The sequence below is a fragment of the Homo sapiens genome, chromosome 7 (genome assembly GCF_000001405.40).
Source record: "Homo sapiens chromosome 7, GRCh38.p14 Primary Assembly".
NCBI classification, from domain to species: Eukaryota; Metazoa; Chordata; class Mammalia; order Primates; family Hominidae; genus Homo; species Homo sapiens.
In genome coordinates, this window is record NC_000007.14 from 73,659,601 (window position 1) to 73,675,875 (window position 16,275).

The following is a 16,275-nucleotide window of genomic DNA, read 5'->3' on the forward strand; positions in this document are numbered from 1 at the left end:
AGGGTATGAGGTTTCTTTTGGGCGAGATGAAAATGTTCTACGATTGATTGTGCCAACAGGGCACCGTGGCTCATGCCTGTAATCCTAGCACTTTGGGAGGCTGAGAGGGGAGGATCGCTTGAGCCCAGGAGTTCGAGACCAGCCTGGCCAACATAGTGAGACCCTGTCTCTAAGAAGAAAAAAAAATCAAACCATCAATGCCATTAAAGTTCCCAGAGTCTCCCTGCCAACTCCAAAGCCCTTCTATCAGAGAGCTACACTTCTGAATTTTATGTTTATTGTTTCCAAACTTTCACTCTGTATGTATCTCCAAGCAATACAAAATATAGTTTTTCCTGTTTCTTTTCTTTTCTTTTTTGACAGGGTTTCGCTCTGTCATCCAGGCTGGAGTGTAGTGGTGGGATCAAGCTCAGTGCAGCCTCGACGTCTTTGGCTCAAGCAATCCTCCTGCCTCAGCCTCCCAAGCGTTGAGATTACAGGTGTGAGCCACTAGACCGGGCAGTTTGGCTGGCTTTCTCCTTCCTTCCTTCCTTCCTTCCTTCTTTCCTTCTTTCCTTCCTTCCTTCCATCCTTCCTTCCTTCCCTCCTTCCCTCCCTCCTTCCTTCCTTTCCTTTCTTTCTCTCTCTCTTTCTCCTCCCCTCCCCTCCCTCCGTCCCTTCCTCCCTCCCTCTCCCTCTCTCTCTTTCTTTCTTAGATGGAGTCTCACACTCTGTCACCCAGGCTGGAATGCAGTGGTGTAATCTCGGCTCACTGCAACCTCCACATACCGGGTTCAAGCGATTCTCCTGCCTCAGCCTCCCGAGCAGGGACTACAGGCGCCTGCCACCACGCCTGGCTAATGTTTTTTTATTTTTAGTAGAAACGGGGTTTCACCTTGTTGGTCAGGCTGGTCTAGAACTCTTGACCTCGTGATCCACCTGCCTCGGCCTCCCAAAGTATTGGGATTACAGGTGTGAGCCACCGCGCCTGGCCAATCTTTCCTGTTTCTAAGCTTTATATAAACAGTAGTATACTGAATATATTTTTCTGCTGCTTCCCTTTTTCACTCAGTGTTGTTTGAGATTCACTCAAATTCACATGCATGGCTGTAGTTTTCTCATTTTTGTTGCTGTATATATGAAGTACTCCATTGTATGAAGACACACTGGTGTCTTTGCCATTCTCCTATGGTTGGACATTTGGATTGTTTCCAGGTTTTTTTGTGACTACAAATAATACAGGCAGGGTGCGGTGGCTCACGCCTATAATCCCAGCACTTTGGGAGGCTGAGGTGAGCAGATCACCTGAGGTCAGGAGTTGGATACCAGCCTAACCAACATGGGGAAACCCCGTCTCTACTAAAAATACAAAAATTAGCTGGGAGTAGTGGCACACGCCTGTAATCCCAGTTACTCAGAAGGCTGAGGCACAAGAACCGCTTGAACCTGGGAGGCGGAGGTTGCAGTGAGCCAAGATCGTGCCACCACACACTCAGCCTAGGCGACAGAGCAAAACTCTGTCTCAAAAATAAAAAATAAAATAATAATAATAAAAATAAAAATTCCTGTCCTTGCCTCCTAGTCCAAGAGGGAAAAATTTTGTAGAAGTTTGCATTAATTTCCTATAGCCACTATAATAAATTAACACAAAATCAGTGGCTTTGGACAACTCAAATGTATTATCTTACAGTTCTGGATGTCAGGAGCCCAAAATGGTTCTTTGTTTGTTTTGAGACAGAGTCTCACTCTGTCACCCAGGCTGGAGTGCAGTGGCACAATCTCGGCTCACTGCAACCTCCACCTCCCGGGTTCAAGCGATTCTTGTGCCTCAGCCTTTCGAGTAGCTGGGATTATGGGCGGGTGCCATCATACCCAGCTAATTTTTGTATTTTTAGTAGAGATGGGGTCTCACCATGTTGGCCAGGCTGGTCTCAAACTCCTAAGCCCAAGCGATCTGCCCGCCTCCACCTCCCAAAGTGCTGGGATTACAAACGTGAACCACCGTGCCCTGCCCCAAATGAGCCTTATTGGGCTGAAATCAAGGTGTCCTGCTGGAGTCCCCAGAGGCCGAGTCCATTCCCTTGCCTTTTTCTGCTTCCAGAGGTTTCCTGCATTCCTTGGCTTATGGCCTCTGCCTTCATCTTCAAAGCCACCAGTTTCTCTCTGACTCTGACCCTCTGCTTCCACTATCACATTTCCTTCTCGGATTCTGACCCTCCTTCCTCCCTCTTATAAGAACCCTTGTGATTATGTTGGGTCCAACTTGGTGATCTAGGATGCTCACTGCATCTCAGGCGTCTTTTTTTTTTTTTTTTTGAGTCAGGGTCTTGCTCTGTTGCCCAGTCTGGAATGCAGTGGCACTATCATAGCTCACTGCAGCATCTACCTCCTGAAATCAAGTGATCCTTCTGCCTCAGCCTCCTGAGTAGCTGGGACTACAGCATGTACCACCATACCTGGCTAATTAAAAAAAAACTTTTTTTTATAGAGATGGGGGTCTCACTATGTTGTGCAGGCTGGTCTTGTACTCTTGGGCTCAAGTGATCCTTCTGCCTCAGCCTCCCAAAGTGCTGGGATTACAGGCATGAGCCACCAAGCCTGGCCCATCTCAAGATTCTTCTTCTTTTTTTTTTTGAGACACAGTCTCGCTCTGTCACCCAGGCTGGAGTGCAGTGGCGTGATCTCAGCTCACTGCAAGCTCCGCCTCCTGGGTTTATGCCATTCTCCCATCTCAGCCTCCTGAGTAGCTGGGACTACAGGCACCCGCCACCACACCCAGCCAATTTTTTTGTATTTTTAGTAGAGACAGGGTTTCATTGTTAGCCAGGATGGTCTTGATCTCCTGACCTCATGATCCACCCGCCTTGGCCTCCCAAAGTGCTGGGATTACAGGCATGAGCCACCGTGACCAGCATTTTTTTTTTTTTTTTTTTTTAGAGATGGAGTCTTACTCTGTTGCCCAGGCTGGAGTGCAGTGGCGCCATCTCGGCTCACTGAAGCTCTGCCTCCCAGATTCGAGCAATTCTCCTGCCTCAGCCTCCCAAGCATCTCAAAATTCTTTTGTTCTTTTCTTCTCTCTCTCTCTTTTTTTTTTTTTTTTTTTTTTTTGCGACGGAGTTTCGCTTTTGTTGCCCAGGCTGGAGGGCAACGGCATGATCTTGGCTCACTGCAACCTCCGCCTCCCGGGTTCAAGCGATTCTCCTGCTTCAGCCTCCCAAGTAGCTGGGACTACAGGCATGTGCCACCATGCCCAGGTAATTTTCTATTTTCAGAAGAGACAGGGTTTCTCCATGTTGGTTAGGCTGGTCTCAAACTCCCAACCTCAGGTGATCCACCTGCCTCGGCCTCCCAAAGTGCTGGGATTATAGGTGTGAGTCACCATGGCTGGCCAAGATTCTTAACTCTACTGCATTTGTAGAGTCCCTGTTGCCATGTAAGGTAACATATTTACAGGTTCCAGGGTTAGCATGGGGATGTCTTTTGGGACAAGGGGGAATTATTGGATCTACCACAGAGGGAAACAACTGAGTAGGTGTGACATGAATATCTTTGAATTACCCAGTTTGTTAAAGTGTTCTCCAAAATGAACTGATTCTGTCTTCTGCTAACATTGCATGAGAGTTCCTGGTGCTCCCCTTCCTCACCAACACTTGATGTTATTGGACTTTTTAATTTGTGCCAACCTGACAGCTATGAAATATCTGAGCTCTGATTTCTATGTGATCAAGAAGAAAAAGGTGGCCCATGGTATTGAATGTGAAAAAGCAGGGCCCTAGCAGTAAGAAGGTAATTGGTAACCTTGGCTAGAGGGATGCACTTGAAATGGTGGGAGGGAGTGAAATTAGACTGAGTCACAGAACAAGGGGGAGTGGTAAGAAAATGGACAGAGGAAGTGCAGGATGTAGAGGGTACTTTCAAAACATTGGGTGGGGAGAGAAAGTGAAGTCTAAAGGCAGAAATTACAGGTGAAAGAGACAGAAAGAGAGACAGACAGACAGACAGACATTCATTACTACTGTAGTGGAACAAGGCTTTTTTTTTTTTTTTAAAGATGGACTCTTGGTCTGTCACCCAGGCTGAAGTGCAGTGGCACAATCTTGGCTCACTGCAACCTCCACCTGCTGAGTTCAAGCAATTCTTCTGCCTCAGCCTCTTGAGTACCTGGGACTACAGGTGTAAGCCACCACGCCCAGCTAACTTTTGTAGTTTTAGTAGAGACGGAGTTTCACCATGTTGGCCAGGCTGGTCTTGAACTCCTGACCTCAGGTGATTCGCCCCACTTTGGCCTCCCAAAGTGCTGAAATTATAGGCGTGAGCCACGGTGCCCCTCCCAAGGCATCTTAAAGGAGTAAAGGAGACAGGTGAAAGTGAGACCCACAGCAAGGGTACCTGGGTTGGCTTTGGAATGAAGAGAGGTTGCCCTTCCTGGAGGCAGTAGGGAAGGAAGGGCTCTGGACAGAGGCAAAGAACATGCAGCCAGGCGCGGTGGCTCACGCCTGTAATCCCAGCACTTTGGGAGACCATGGTGCAAGGATCACTTGAGTCCAGGAGTTCAAGACCAGCCTGGACAATATAGCAAGTCCATATTGCTACAAAAAAATAAAAAATTAGCTGGGCACAGTGGCACAGGCCTGTAGTCCCAGCTACTGTGGAAGCTGAGGTGGGAGGATCCTTTGAGCCCAGGAGTTCGAGGCTACAGTGAGCTATGAACGAGCCACTGCATTCTTGCCTGGACAACACAATGAGACTGTCTCAAAAAAAAAAAAAAAAAAAGCAAAGATGTGGAGACAGGAACTGGCAGGAGAGTTATCTGCTGAGGGACAGGAGTGGGCTTGGTTGTCTGCGGAGTATGGGGAAGGTTTACAGGGGGCATTGTTGTGGGGTATTGAGGCTGAACAAAGGGGGATCAGCGAGAAAGAGGGGACAAGCTGAGGTAGGAACCTCCCATTGGCGCTGACCACTGCCTTTTAGGTTGAAGAAGGCTTGTAACACAAAGTGGGAGGGGCCGAGGGAGGGCTGGATAGAGGGAGTATCTAGGAGACCCCCGAACACTTAGTGAACACAATGGGCCCTGAGGAGGCAGAGCAAACTGGGGAGCTCAGAAAGGCTTACCAGAGAAGGTGACATTTGAGCTGGGCTTCAAAGGTGCAATAGGAGTTCTGAAATTGAGGGAGAAAATAATGGAACCAAAGAGAAGTCCACAGGCAAGGTAAGGGCTAAAATAAATGGTGAAAGGGGCCAGGCATGGTGACTCACGCCTGTAATCCCAACACTTTGGGACGCCGAGGCGGGTGGATCACTTGAGGTCAGGAGTTCAAGACCAACCTGGCCATCATGGTGAAAACCCCATCTCTACTAAAAACACACAAAAGAAGGCTGCACGCGGTGGCTCATGCCTGTAATCCCAGCACTTTGGGAGGCCGAGGTGGGCGGATCACGAGGTTAGGAGATTGAGACTATCCTGGCTAACACGGTGAAACCCTGTCTCTATTAAAAATACAAAAAATTAGCCGGGCTTGGGGGCGGGCGCCTGTAGTCCCAGCTACTCAGGAGGCTGAGGCAGGAGAACGGTGTGAACCCGGGAGGCGGAGCTTGTAGTGAGCTGAGATCGCGTCACTGCACTCTGACCTGGGTAACAGAGTGAGACTCTGTCTCAAAAAAAAAAAAAAAAAAAAAAAAAAAAAAAAAAATTACTGTGATCCCAGCTACTCCGGAGGCTTAGGCAGGAGAACTGTTTGAACCTGGGTGGCAAAGATTGCAGTGACCTGAGATCACACCACTGACTCCAGCCTGGGCGACAGAGGGAGACTCTGTCTAAAAAGAAAGTGAAGGGACTGTGTGAGTCCAGAGGAAAAGGGAATAACCCCCTAGCCTGGGAAGGTGGAGAGGGCTTCCTGGAGGTGGTGATATTCCAGATGAGTCTTGAAGGGGAAAGCCAATTTTAGTTGTTGTAAAAATGTAGAACTGTTTTTAAAAAAAAGTAGAAGTGTTACTTTTATGGTCTGTCAACAAGGCTGTCCTGCCGCTTCTCCCAGACATTGGCACCATGCCTGCCCACCATGCTATGGCTGGATAGGGAGAGTCCTTGCTCAGCTCTTCCCGCCCCTATGCCTTGGCTTATGGATTTCTGTTTGCTTTCATCATTTTCTCCTTCAACTTGAGAACTCCTATTCAACCTCTGAAACCCAGCTCAAATGCCACCTCCTCTGGTAAGCCTTCCTAATTGCTCTTTGTACTTTTGTAGCAGTGTATTAAGGTGGAACAAGCTCAGTTGTCGTTGTTGTTTTTTGAGACGGGGTCTTGCTCCATTTCCCAGGCTGGAGTACAGTGGCAAAATCATAGGTCACTGCAGCCTCAACCTCCTGGGCTCAAGTGATCCTCCCACCTCAGCCTCCTGAGCAGCTGGGGCTACAGGCACGAACCACCACGGCCGGCTACTTTATTTTTTATGTTTGGCAGAGATGGGGGTCTCATTGTGTTGCCCAGGCTGGGTCACTCATTGTCTGACTTAATTTCTGAGTGTCTATTTCCTGAGATGGGGACAATGGCTTAACCTATTTGTAAAGACAAGGTACAGGACATATCGGGGATCACATGGGAATCACAAAGCCATCATGAGGTGACACCTGCCATTTGTCTTATACTAGAATTAGTTGAGTGGGAATGGGACTCTGCCTTAATCCATGAACTCCCTGAGGGCAGGGACAGTGTCCCCACAGGGCCTAACCCAGTGTTCAGCGCAGAGCGGCATCGTATGCTCTGTGGACACTGTACAAATGAGAAGAAACGGGACTGTATCATTTACCTGTAATGTGACTTTGGGGAGGCGACATCATCTCTTTTTTTTCTTTTTTTTCTTTGTTTGAGACGGAGCACGGAGTCTCTGTCGCCCAGGCTGGAGTGGAGTGGTGCTATCTCGGCTCACTACAACCTCCGCCTCCCAGGTTCAAGCGATTCTCCTGCCTCAGCCACCTGAGTAGCTGGAATTACAGGCGCCCACCACCACGCCCGGCTAATTTTTGTTGGTCAGGTTGGTCTCAAACTTCTGACCTCAAATGATTCACCCACCTTGGACTCCCAAAGTGCTGGGATTACAGGCATGGGCTACCGTGCCCGGCCTCTGTGATGCTTCTGCATGTCTAAAATAACAAGTGGGTATTGACCTACTATGTGTATTCATTATAACATTGCTAGCCATATCACTATCCCTCAGCATTTTAATTTTACTTTTATAGAGATGGGGTCTTGCTGTGTTGCCCAGGCTGGTCTCAAAACTGAGCTCAAGCAATCTCCCACCTCTGCCTCCTGAGTAGCTAGGACTACAGACGCATGCCACCATGTCCGGATACTTTTTAAAAGCATTTAAATACTTTTAAAAATTGTTCTTTTCACTCTTTTTTTTTTTTTTTTTGAGACGGAGTCTCGCTCTGTCACCCAGCCTGGAGTGCAGTGGCGCGATCTCCGCTCACTGCAAGCTCCGCCTCCCGGGTTCACGCCATTCTCCTGCCTCAGCCTCGCGAGTAGCTGGGACTACAGGCGCCCGCCACCACGCCCGGCTAATTTTTTTTGTATTTTTAGTAGAGACGGGGTTTCACCATGTTAGCCAGGATGGTCTCGATCTCCTGACCTCGTGATCCGCCCGCCTCGGCCTCCCAAAGTGCTGGGATTACAGGCGTGAGCCACCGCGCCCGGCCTCTTTTCACCCTTTTGACAATTTTTAAATTTTTTTAAATAGAGACGGGGGTCTTGTTATGTTGCCCAGGCTGGTCTCAAACTCCTGGCCTCAAGCGATCCTCCCTTCTCGGTCTCCCAAATCGCTGGAATTACAGGAGAGAGCCACCGCGCCCGGCCAGCAAGTCAGCGCTCACCATCTCCAACCCCATTTTACAGAAGAGAAAACTGAGGCTTGGGGAGGGCTGCAAGGCAGGAGCCCTCGGCGCCCGGCCAAAGTCAGAAATTTGTTGTTGCCATCCGAGGGGAAAACGTGCACGGGCTCTGCAAATTGTAACCGCCCGGGGTGGGAGAGTCCGTGCCTGGGGGCGTGGTGAGCCAGGGCCGGTGCTGGGGCGCAGAGCAGGGCGGCTCAGATTCCGGGAGGGGCGGGGAGATCGGGTTGCTGGGCGATCCTGGGGTGCTGGAGGCGGCGCGGCGCGGCCGGGGCGGGGAGGGGTGCGGCCCGCCTCCTCCCTGCCCCACCCCCAGCCCCGGCGCCGCGGCTCCTTTAAGAGCGGGAGGGGCGCCCCCTGGCGGCGGAGCGGTGCGTGCGGCCGGAGCCGGAGCGGATCCTGGAGCCGGAGCGGAGCGGAGCGGAGCGGAGCCGGGGCGGAGCGGGCCGAGCGGGCCGAGCCAGCAGCCGAGCTGGGGGCGCGGGCGGGCGGCATGTACCGGGCCCGGGCGGCGCGGGCGGGGCCGGAGCCCGGCAGCCCGGGGCGCTTTGGGATCCTCAGCACCGGGCAGCTCCGGGACCTGCTTCAGGATGAGCCCAAGCTGGACCGGATCGTGCGGCTCAGCAGGAAGGTAGCGCGGGGGGCTCGAGCGGGGGGCGCGGGGGACGGGCAGCGGCCTGCGGGACCTGCCGCTCGAGGGAAGGGCCGCGCGGGCCGGGCCGCGGGGCCGCCCGTGGGCGCGGAGCCTGGCACGTACGAGTGGGCCCCGCGGAGCCACCCCCGGGGGAGGGGGCGCTTGGAGCTGGCCTGGGGCGGGTGGGGCGCCGGGGACCCGAGGGGGGCGCCTGTGCACCCCCAGGATGGCCGCGAGGCGTGTCCTACAGCGGATGCTCCGGGGAGGTGTGTTCCGGGGGGCTGTGTTGTGGGGGGCCCTGGCTCGCACACCCACGTTCTGTAAGGGCCAGAAAGAGGAGGCGCCTTCCACTGGGAGAACTAGGGGCCTGTCTGACACCTGGAGGGGCCGTTGGGGGTTCACGCATTCTGGGGGCGCAAGAGGGGGCTTTGTGCCTGGCGTTGGGGAGGGGTGCTGGAAGCTGCCGTGTGTATTGCATAGGCCACCGTAAGAGAAAGTTGTATATTTCACGGGAGATAGGCCCGGGCTGGTTGTCTGTGGGGGGCAGAAAGGGCAAGTGTGTGTTGAAAGCAGGCAGGCGAGGAGGGGCTTGTGCATCCCACAAGGGACAGATGGAGGGGAGTGCGTTCTCCAGGGGCAGGGAGGGGAGGTTGGGCCCTGCTAGAGACAAGGAAAAAGCCTTCTCCAGGGCCGGGGCTGCTGTAAGCCCGGAGCAGGGAGGAAAAGGGGGTGTGTATTCCTTGGGGTGTGAGGATTCCACTGGAGGCAGAGGAAGGGGTGGGAAGGGAAGAGAGGGTGACCCGAGGGGGTGCTGTGAGGGGACGGGGTGCAGACACCCCTCTGGAGAGGATGAGCAGGGGGTGGGAGTGTTTTCGGTGCAAACACCTGAGGAGGAAACAGACAAAGGCCTGGAGTGAGAGGGAAGCTGTCCATGCATGGAAAATGGGGCAGAGGAGGGAGGGGCACTCCTCCGGGACCTGAGCAGACATATTAATTGAAAAATTAAAAATTAACTAACATTTGTAGAGGCCTTTATAGTTTTCCTCACTTAAGTCTCTCAACAACCCCATAAGGTGGATGTTTTTTAACTCGATTTGTAAAAGAGGAAACTGAGGCCAGAGAGGGAGCTCAGGGCAGAGCCAGTTCTGGTCCCGGCCTGTCATCGTCCCTTCACCTGTTGGGTTCACCACCCTGAAGGGGTGCCTGACAGGTGCCTTTGGCCTGGCCCTCAGGCACGGTCGCCCAGTAGGGTGGACGGGGCAGTAGGGTGGACAGGGCAGATCCCCTGAGCGGGCCTCTTAGCTCCTCTCTGCCCGCAGTTCCAGGGCCTGCAGCTGGAGCGTGAGGCCTGCCTGGCCTCCAACTACGCGCTGGCCAAGGAGAACCTGGCCCTGCGGCCCCGCCTGGAGATGGGCCGGGCTGCCCTGGCCATCAAATACCAGGAGCTTCGTGAGGTGGCCGAGAACTGCGCGGACAAGCTGCAGCGACTGGGTGAGGGCACGTCTGGGAGAACCCCCTGGGGCTGGTGGGGGCAGTTGGCCATCCGGTGGGTTGGCCTTGGGAAGTGCCAGGCTCTGATGGATGGGAGTTGGGCGGACCTGCTCCTGGCTTGCTGGGCAGTAGAGTTGAGGAAGTGAGAGGAAGTGGGGAGGGTTGGGTGGGAGAAAGGGGACCCAATACGCAGGGTCCCCCTGAGATGCTGAGGGGGACAAAGCCTCCCCTGTCTCTTTTGTACTAGGACGAGGAGCAGAAACTTGGTAGGGGCCGGATCCACAAAGCGGTCACATGGGCACGGTACAGATGAGGAAACTGAGGCTCTAGACCAGGGGAAAGGGAAATATAGAATCACATGGGGTCAGCGGGAGAGTGCAAGCCCGGGGCCCTGGCCTGTCTGTCACTCTGTCCCTCTGTGGCCCTCAGAGGAAAGCATGCATCGCTGGAGTCCCCACTGCGCGCTGGGCTGGCTGCAGGCTGAGCTAGAAGAGGCGGAGCAGGAGGCAGAGGTGAGGGGAGGGGTGGCTGGGGCTGGGGGCCAGGAGGGAGACCCATTCTCTGCCACCCCCTGGCTCATTCTTACACCTCAGGCTGGGGAGCCCCTCCTCTGGGAAGTCCACCCTGAATGCCTGGCGCATGCCAGAGCCTAGCATTGCTGTCCACCAGCACTGGACAGCCAGCAGGGCTCACTTTCCTACCTGTGAATTTTTTTCGGGCTCCCCTGTGACTGGGCTAGGGCAGCGTGGATCTGGGGCTACAGAGGAGCTGGGGCAGACTTTGTGCTGGGTTGGGAGTGCAGCGATCAGTGAGCTGAAGGTGGTGGGCTCCCGAAGGACATGTTAAGTCTATACTTCACATATGTCCCTGCCTCTGCTCCTGCCTCATCTCTGATCCAGCAGGTCTGGTGATGGCATCCTTATTTTAGAAGTTAGGGCTGGGCACAGTGGCTCACGCCTGTAATCCCAGCACTTTGGGAGACCGAGGCGGGCGGATCGCCTGAGGTCAGGAGTTCGAGACCAGCCTGACCAACATGGTGAAACCCCGTCTCTACAAAATACAAAAAAAAATTAGCCGGGCGTGGTGGTGCATGTCTGTCATCTCAGCTACTTGGGAGGCTGAGGCAGGAGAATTGCTTGAACCCGGGAGGTGGAGGTTGCAGTGAGCCGAGATTGCGCCACTGCACTCCAGCCTGGACCACAGTGAGACTCTGTCTCAGGAAAAAAAAAAAAAAGTGGGAGGACATTTGTCCACAGTTCACTTAGCAAGTAATCGGAGGCAGGCCCAGGCTGGAACGCAGGTCCCCTGTCCCCCAGCTGAGGGGTGATCACCATGGGGAGGGCCTCAGGGTGGGAAGGAGTGAGGACCAGTCCCCAGTCTGTGGTCGTGCCTCTCCCAAGCCTTCCCTTCCCTCCCGGCCCAGGAGCAGATGGAGCAGCTGCTGCTCGGGGAGCAAAGCCTGGAGGCCTTCCTGCCTGCCTTCCAGCGTGGCCGCGCCCTGGCCCACCTGAGGCGGACGCAGGCAGAGAAGCTGCAGGAGCTGCTGCGGCGTCGGGAGCGTTCTGCCCAGCCGGCCCCCACCTCGGCTGCTGATCCCCCCAAATCCTTCCCGGCTGCAGCTGTCCTGCCCACTGGGGCCGCCCGGGGGCCACCAGCAGTGCCCCGGAGCCTGCCCCCCTTGGACTCCCGCCCAGTGCCCCCACTGAAGGGCTCCCCCGGGTGCCCCCTCGGCCCGGCCCCCCTGCTGAGCCCTCGGCCCTCGCAGCCAGAGCCCCCCCACCGGTAGGATCCACGGTGCGGCCCCCCAGTTGGGGGGCCTAGACAAACTTGATGCGTGGCTCCTCCTCCTCCCCCACTGCCTGGGTGGGGGGAGGGGCAGGCCCCTCCCCCTGGCCTCAGGCAGGCCCTGGCCCTGGAGGCTGAGCTGGGGAGGAGGGTCCCCTGGAAGAGGCCCGAGAGGGGGCTGGGGGTGGGTGGGCAGGGCTTTATGCCTCTGGCGCTGAAGACACCCTGCCTTTTTTGTTTCCGTGCCCCGGGGCCTCTAGGGTGATGGACCAGCCCCGTTAAAGAACTTGACTCAACTACAGGGGCCTGGGAAGATGCCTGGGTCCCCTAGGGGCCTTGCCAAGGGGACCTGTCGCACCCCACCACTCCACTGGGCTCGCACAACGCCAAGGCCGCCAGGAGTGTTTTACATCATGTCCTGAGCCTACCTTTCCCCCAAATTCTGGGGCCCACAGCCTAGGAGCCAGGTGATCAGGCCTCGGCTGTGGGGCCAGGGACACCATGGCCCTGGGGCTACTACGTGTCCACACATGCTCCAGACCCTGGGGCAAGGTAGGCCAGGGGCTTCTGACCTGTGCAGGTGAGAGTGGGCCATACCCAGGAAAGACCATTCTGTATTTTTCTGTCCCTGTCTCCTTAGAATGGAAGCTTTTTGAGGGCAGGTCCTTGTCTTTGTACGTTCTGTCCCCAGCCCCGCCTCTTAGGGGCCGTCAATAAATGTGATGATGAGGATGACGATGCTGCCCGACTCCTCTCTGCTGTTGCAGCCTCCACAGCTCAGCTCCTGTGCTTCCACTTCCTACTTTTGAGATGCTCTCCCCTCCTTTCTGCCCATGCAAAGCCCAGCTGTCCGGGTCCAACACCGCCGCTGCCTCTTCCATGAAGCCTTCTCTGATTACCAACCCGTTGAGAGCCTTTCCTAAATCTTAACTTCCCGGCATTTCCAGTCAGAAGCGCTCACTGCTCCATCTTGGTTCTCCAATTGCCTCACCTGTACGCATCTTTTCCTGGGTTGCCCATAAGCCCAATCGGGATGGTACCTGGTCTTCTCTGGCCTGCCAAATGACGGTCCCCACGGAGTGATGGAGGGCATTTTGCAGGACTGATGGCATCTGTCCTCAGCCAGGGGGAATGCTAGGTGCCAGTTTGGCTGATGATTGTGGAACAAGGAGGTGGGATATACCCTGGGTCAGCTTAGGTCAAGTCCAATGAGATGCAGTTTGGCAGGGAGGCGTGGAAGTTCTTGCAAACAAAAGGGGACAGTCACAGTGTTGTGGAAGCCTACAAAGCTAATATGGTGTTGGTCCATGTTAATAAGGACATAACTATCTGGAAAGAGGAAGGTGTTGGGGTAGCTTTGCTTTTCACTTAAGTTTTTTACTGGAAGAGGGTCCCCTCCCCCCACCCGCCCCAAATGGCACCTTTGGAGAAACAAGGATGAGAAAGAACAGTCAGTGAGGAACAGTTGAGGGATCTGTTTCAAATGTGTTTGTGTGTGATGTTCAGCCTTTGAATCTCTAAAGGGTTGGGTCACCTAGAACCAGAGGTTAAAGCCAAGACCAGTGGGTGGGAACCACAGGTCAAAGCTAAGACCAATTGGTGGAAACCGTAAGGGGCCGGATTTTGGCTCCGTTTGAGGCTCTTAAATTAGGGATGAGGCCAGGAGCGGTGGCTCATGCCTGTAATCCCAGCACTTTGGGAGGCCAAGGTGGGTGGATCACCTGAGGTCAGCAGTTCAAGACCAGCCTGGCCAACATGGCGAAAACTCATCTCTACTAAAAATACAAAAATTAGCCACGCATGGTGGTAGGGACTTGTAATCCCAGCTACTCAGGAGGCTGAGGCAGGAGAATTGCTTGAACCCGGGAGGCAGAGGTTGCAGTGGGCCAAGATCACGCCACTGCACTCCAGCCTGGGCGACAAAAGTGAAACTCCGTCCCCCCACCCAAAAAAAAAGTTAGGGGTGTTCTGTGAGGTGGATGGTCCCCATCCCTGACGATGTGGGGGCAGCAACTGCTTGATGGGCTTTTTAGAGATGTCGGCTGTAGCTAGAGGGATTGGGCTGTGGGAGCTTTAGAGCCTCAGGCCTAGACAGTCAGAGTGTCCCCCTAGTACAGGCACAGTTTAAGCACTGAGAGTGCCCACTTTAGAACCTCCATCCCACCTTGGTCTTGGTTCTACTCTCTTCACTGCTGGCACTTCAGCTGCTGGAGGCCAAGGGACACCAGAACCGCTGAGTTCCTGCTGATATGACCAAAGACTGAGCAGCCTTGGAAGACCTCTCCCCCATGCTCTCCTTCTCAGCACAGTCTGGGGCAGGATGGGCCCCTCCTGCCCTGGCTTCCCATTCCTGGTCCAAGCTTCCAGGGTGCAAAGCAGTCCATTCCCACGAAAAAGTACCTTTGTCCCATTTTTCTGAAAATGCATGGTTCCCTGCTGTTTTTTGTTTTTTTTTGCTTTTTGTTTTTTTTTGAGATGGAGTTTCGCTTTTCTCACCCAGGCTGGAGTGCAATGGAGCGATCTCGGCTCACTGGAACCTCTGCCTCCCACGTTTAAGCCATTCTCCTGCCTCACACTCCCGAGTAGCTGGTATTACAGGCATGTGTCACCAAGCCCGGCTAATTTTGTATTTTTAGTAGAGACGGGGTTTCTCCATGTTGGTCAGGCTGGTCTCAAACTCCTGACCTCAGGTGATCTGCCCGCCTTGGCCTCCCAAAGTGCTGGGATTACAGGCGTGAGCCACCGCACCTGGCTTTTTTTTTTTTTTTTTTTTTTTTGAGACGGAGTCTCGCTGTGTCGCCCAGGCTGGAGTGCAGTGGCGTGATCTCGGCTCACTGCAGGCTCCACCTCCTGGGTCCATGCCATTCTCCTGCCTCAGCCTCCTGAGTAGCTGGGACTACAGGCGCCTGCCACCATGCCTGGCTAATTATAATTATTTTTGTATTTTTAGTAGAGACGGGGTTTCACCATGTTAGCCAGGATGGTCTCCATCTCCTGACCTCGTGATCCGCCCGCCTCAGCCTCCCAAAGTGCTGGGATCACAGGTGTAAGCCACAGTGCCCGGTCCCCACTTTTTTTTTTTTTTTTTTGGCTCTCCTTCATGATTGACATGGTGTAGAGTTTGCAACCAAAAGGTAAAAAGGGGCAAAGGTTGGGCAGGTCTGGACCTTTCTCCACTATCATGAATTGGGGAGCAGCCTTTAGAAGGCAGCAGCTACCAGGTTGAGCCTCCCCTCCTCAGGGTAGGTAAGAAGCAGAGAAAGTTGAGACATGGACAAGAGAGGGACTAGGAAGAAGTGTTACCATGGGAACCAGATGGGGTCCTTCAGAAGGCCTCCCACACACCTTGTCTTGCACAGAGCTGATTCTTCTTTAGAGGGGCAGGGAGTGAGACCCCTCTGTGTTCAGCTCCAGCCTGAAAATGATCGGAGGCAGGTGAGGATGGACACCACCAGAGTGGAGTGGGCCCAGTTCTGGGTGGGCCATGGAAAGGCTTACAGTTGGATGGTTTGAAAAATCATTAACCCCTTTTGCTTGAAGGTACATGGAATGTTCAGGAAGGTTCTGGAATGTTCTGGAAGGTGCAGCACTCTGGGCCCTTCCTTTTGCCTAAAACCTTCTTGAACTTGCTGCTTCTAGATTCAGGGGGCCCCAGGAATGTTCCTGGCTGTGATCTGTGAGAGAAAACAAACTTGAGGGTCTGCATCAGGGGGCTCATGAAAAAGGTCCTACCTATTAGATACCATTTTGCTTTTACAAAACAAAACCAAAGAAGTCTCCAAATAAAACTCCCACCCCTTTTAATAAAAACAGAGCTCCCTGTTCCTCAAGAAAGTCTATTATGTACACCTCCTTGTTTGTGAATCACTAGCTTCTGCATTTTTCTAACCTTCCCCATCTTGGTTTCCAAATATGAAACATAGTAACATTAAATTGCTTTTTCTTTTTCCTAACCAATCAAGGCTCACTGAGCTAAGCAGGCTCCAACCAGTGTGGGCTCAAACCTTCACCACTGAATCGTGTAGTCCCTGCAAAGCCATGGCTAAGAACTTGCCCCTAACCTCCAAGGCTGGAGAATCGAATGGTTTCTAAGAGACCCAGTTGGACTTGCTGCAGGTTTATCCCAGTGTATACGGGGATTATACACAAAAGACTGAGTGAAGGAACTGGTGTTACTGTACCAAAGGGCCTCTGGTTGTGTCTAAGCTTATCATTGCTGTAGACCTCTGGAGAGATTCCCCTTGTCCCACAATGAAAATAAGATTTCACTCAACCTCCCTGCATAAAGTGCAGGCTCTTGCAGCAACATACAATATAAGAATTTGCAACCTCAAATGCCTACAGGGGCCAGGAAGGTGACACAGAGGTGCAAAGTAGTCCCTTTCCAGGAAGAAATTCTCCTGCCCCTATTTTTCTGAAAATGCATGGTACCTTTTTACTTTTTTGCTTTCCCTCTTGATGGACATGGGGTACAGAAATGTTTTTCTGCTATGGGAAAAA

The 16,275-nt window shown here is 53.6% G+C and overlaps 1 protein-coding gene across 3 annotated transcripts, besides 4 other annotated features; it reads left to right on the forward strand.

Moving 5' to 3' along the window:
- Window positions 1–5,746: 5,746 nt before the first annotated feature.
- On the forward strand, window positions 5,747–12,510 carry VPS37D (VPS37D subunit of ESCRT-I). 3 transcript variants are annotated; one of them, XM_017011779.2, is made up of 4 exons: window positions 5,747–6,188; window positions 9,819–9,990; window positions 10,420–10,502; window positions 11,414–12,510. In XM_017011779.2, exons 1-4 carry the CDS (start codon window positions 6,174–6,176, stop codon window positions 11,774–11,776), a joined length of 633 nt encoding a protein of 210 aa, XP_016867268.1. In that variant the 5' UTR covers window positions 5,747–6,173; the 3' UTR covers window positions 11,777–12,510. The 3 variants fall into 3 exon arrangements, with proteins under 3 accessions (XP_016867268.1, NP_001071089.1, XP_047275883.1); NM_001077621.2 differs by lacking the exon at window positions 5,747–6,188 and adding an exon at window positions 8,231–8,496; XM_047419927.1 differs by lacking the exon at window positions 5,747–6,188 and adding an exon at window positions 8,557–8,765.
- Window positions 7,842–7,891: a silencer, noted in NCBI's record as "silent region_18257". NCBI's record gives its function as "represses an Ori minimal core promoter by ATAC-STARR-seq in GM12878 lymphoblastoid cells {active_cell/tissue: GM12878}" and the evidence as "EXISTENCE:reporter gene assay evidence [ECO:0000049][PMID:35858748]".
- Window positions 7,902–8,001: a silencer, noted in NCBI's record as "silent region_18258". NCBI's record gives its function as "represses an Ori minimal core promoter by ATAC-STARR-seq in GM12878 lymphoblastoid cells {active_cell/tissue: GM12878}" and the evidence as "EXISTENCE:reporter gene assay evidence [ECO:0000049][PMID:35858748]".
- Window positions 8,112–8,411: a silencer, noted in NCBI's record as "silent region_18259". NCBI's record gives its function as "represses an Ori minimal core promoter by ATAC-STARR-seq in GM12878 lymphoblastoid cells {active_cell/tissue: GM12878}" and the evidence as "EXISTENCE:reporter gene assay evidence [ECO:0000049][PMID:35858748]".
- Window positions 8,393–9,388: an enhancer, noted in NCBI's record as "H3K4me1 hESC enhancer chr7:73082323-73083318 (GRCh37/hg19 assembly coordinates)". NCBI's record gives its function as "activates a minimal SCP1, AML or CMV promoter by ChIP-STARR-seq in naive H9 embryonic stem cells {active_cell/tissue: H9 hESC(naive)}" and the evidence as "EXISTENCE:reporter gene assay evidence [ECO:0000049][PMID:30033119]".
- Window positions 12,511–16,275: the final 3,765 nt, after the last annotated feature.

Bases quoted from the DNA above. Each gene is read 5' to 3' on its own strand.
- VPS37D (NM_001077621.2), top strand. From the start codon at position 8,359: ATGTACCGGGCCCGGGCGGCGCGGGCGGGGCCGGAGCCCGGCAGCCCG. The intron at 8,497-9,818 runs GTAGCGCGGGGG...CTCTGCCCGCAG, and splicing joins TCGTGCGGCTCAGCAGGAAG to TTCCAGGGCCTGCAGCTGGA. The intron at 10,503-11,413 runs GTGAGGGGAGGG...CTCCCGGCCCAG, and splicing joins AGGCGGAGCAGGAGGCAGAG to GAGCAGATGGAGCAGCTGCT.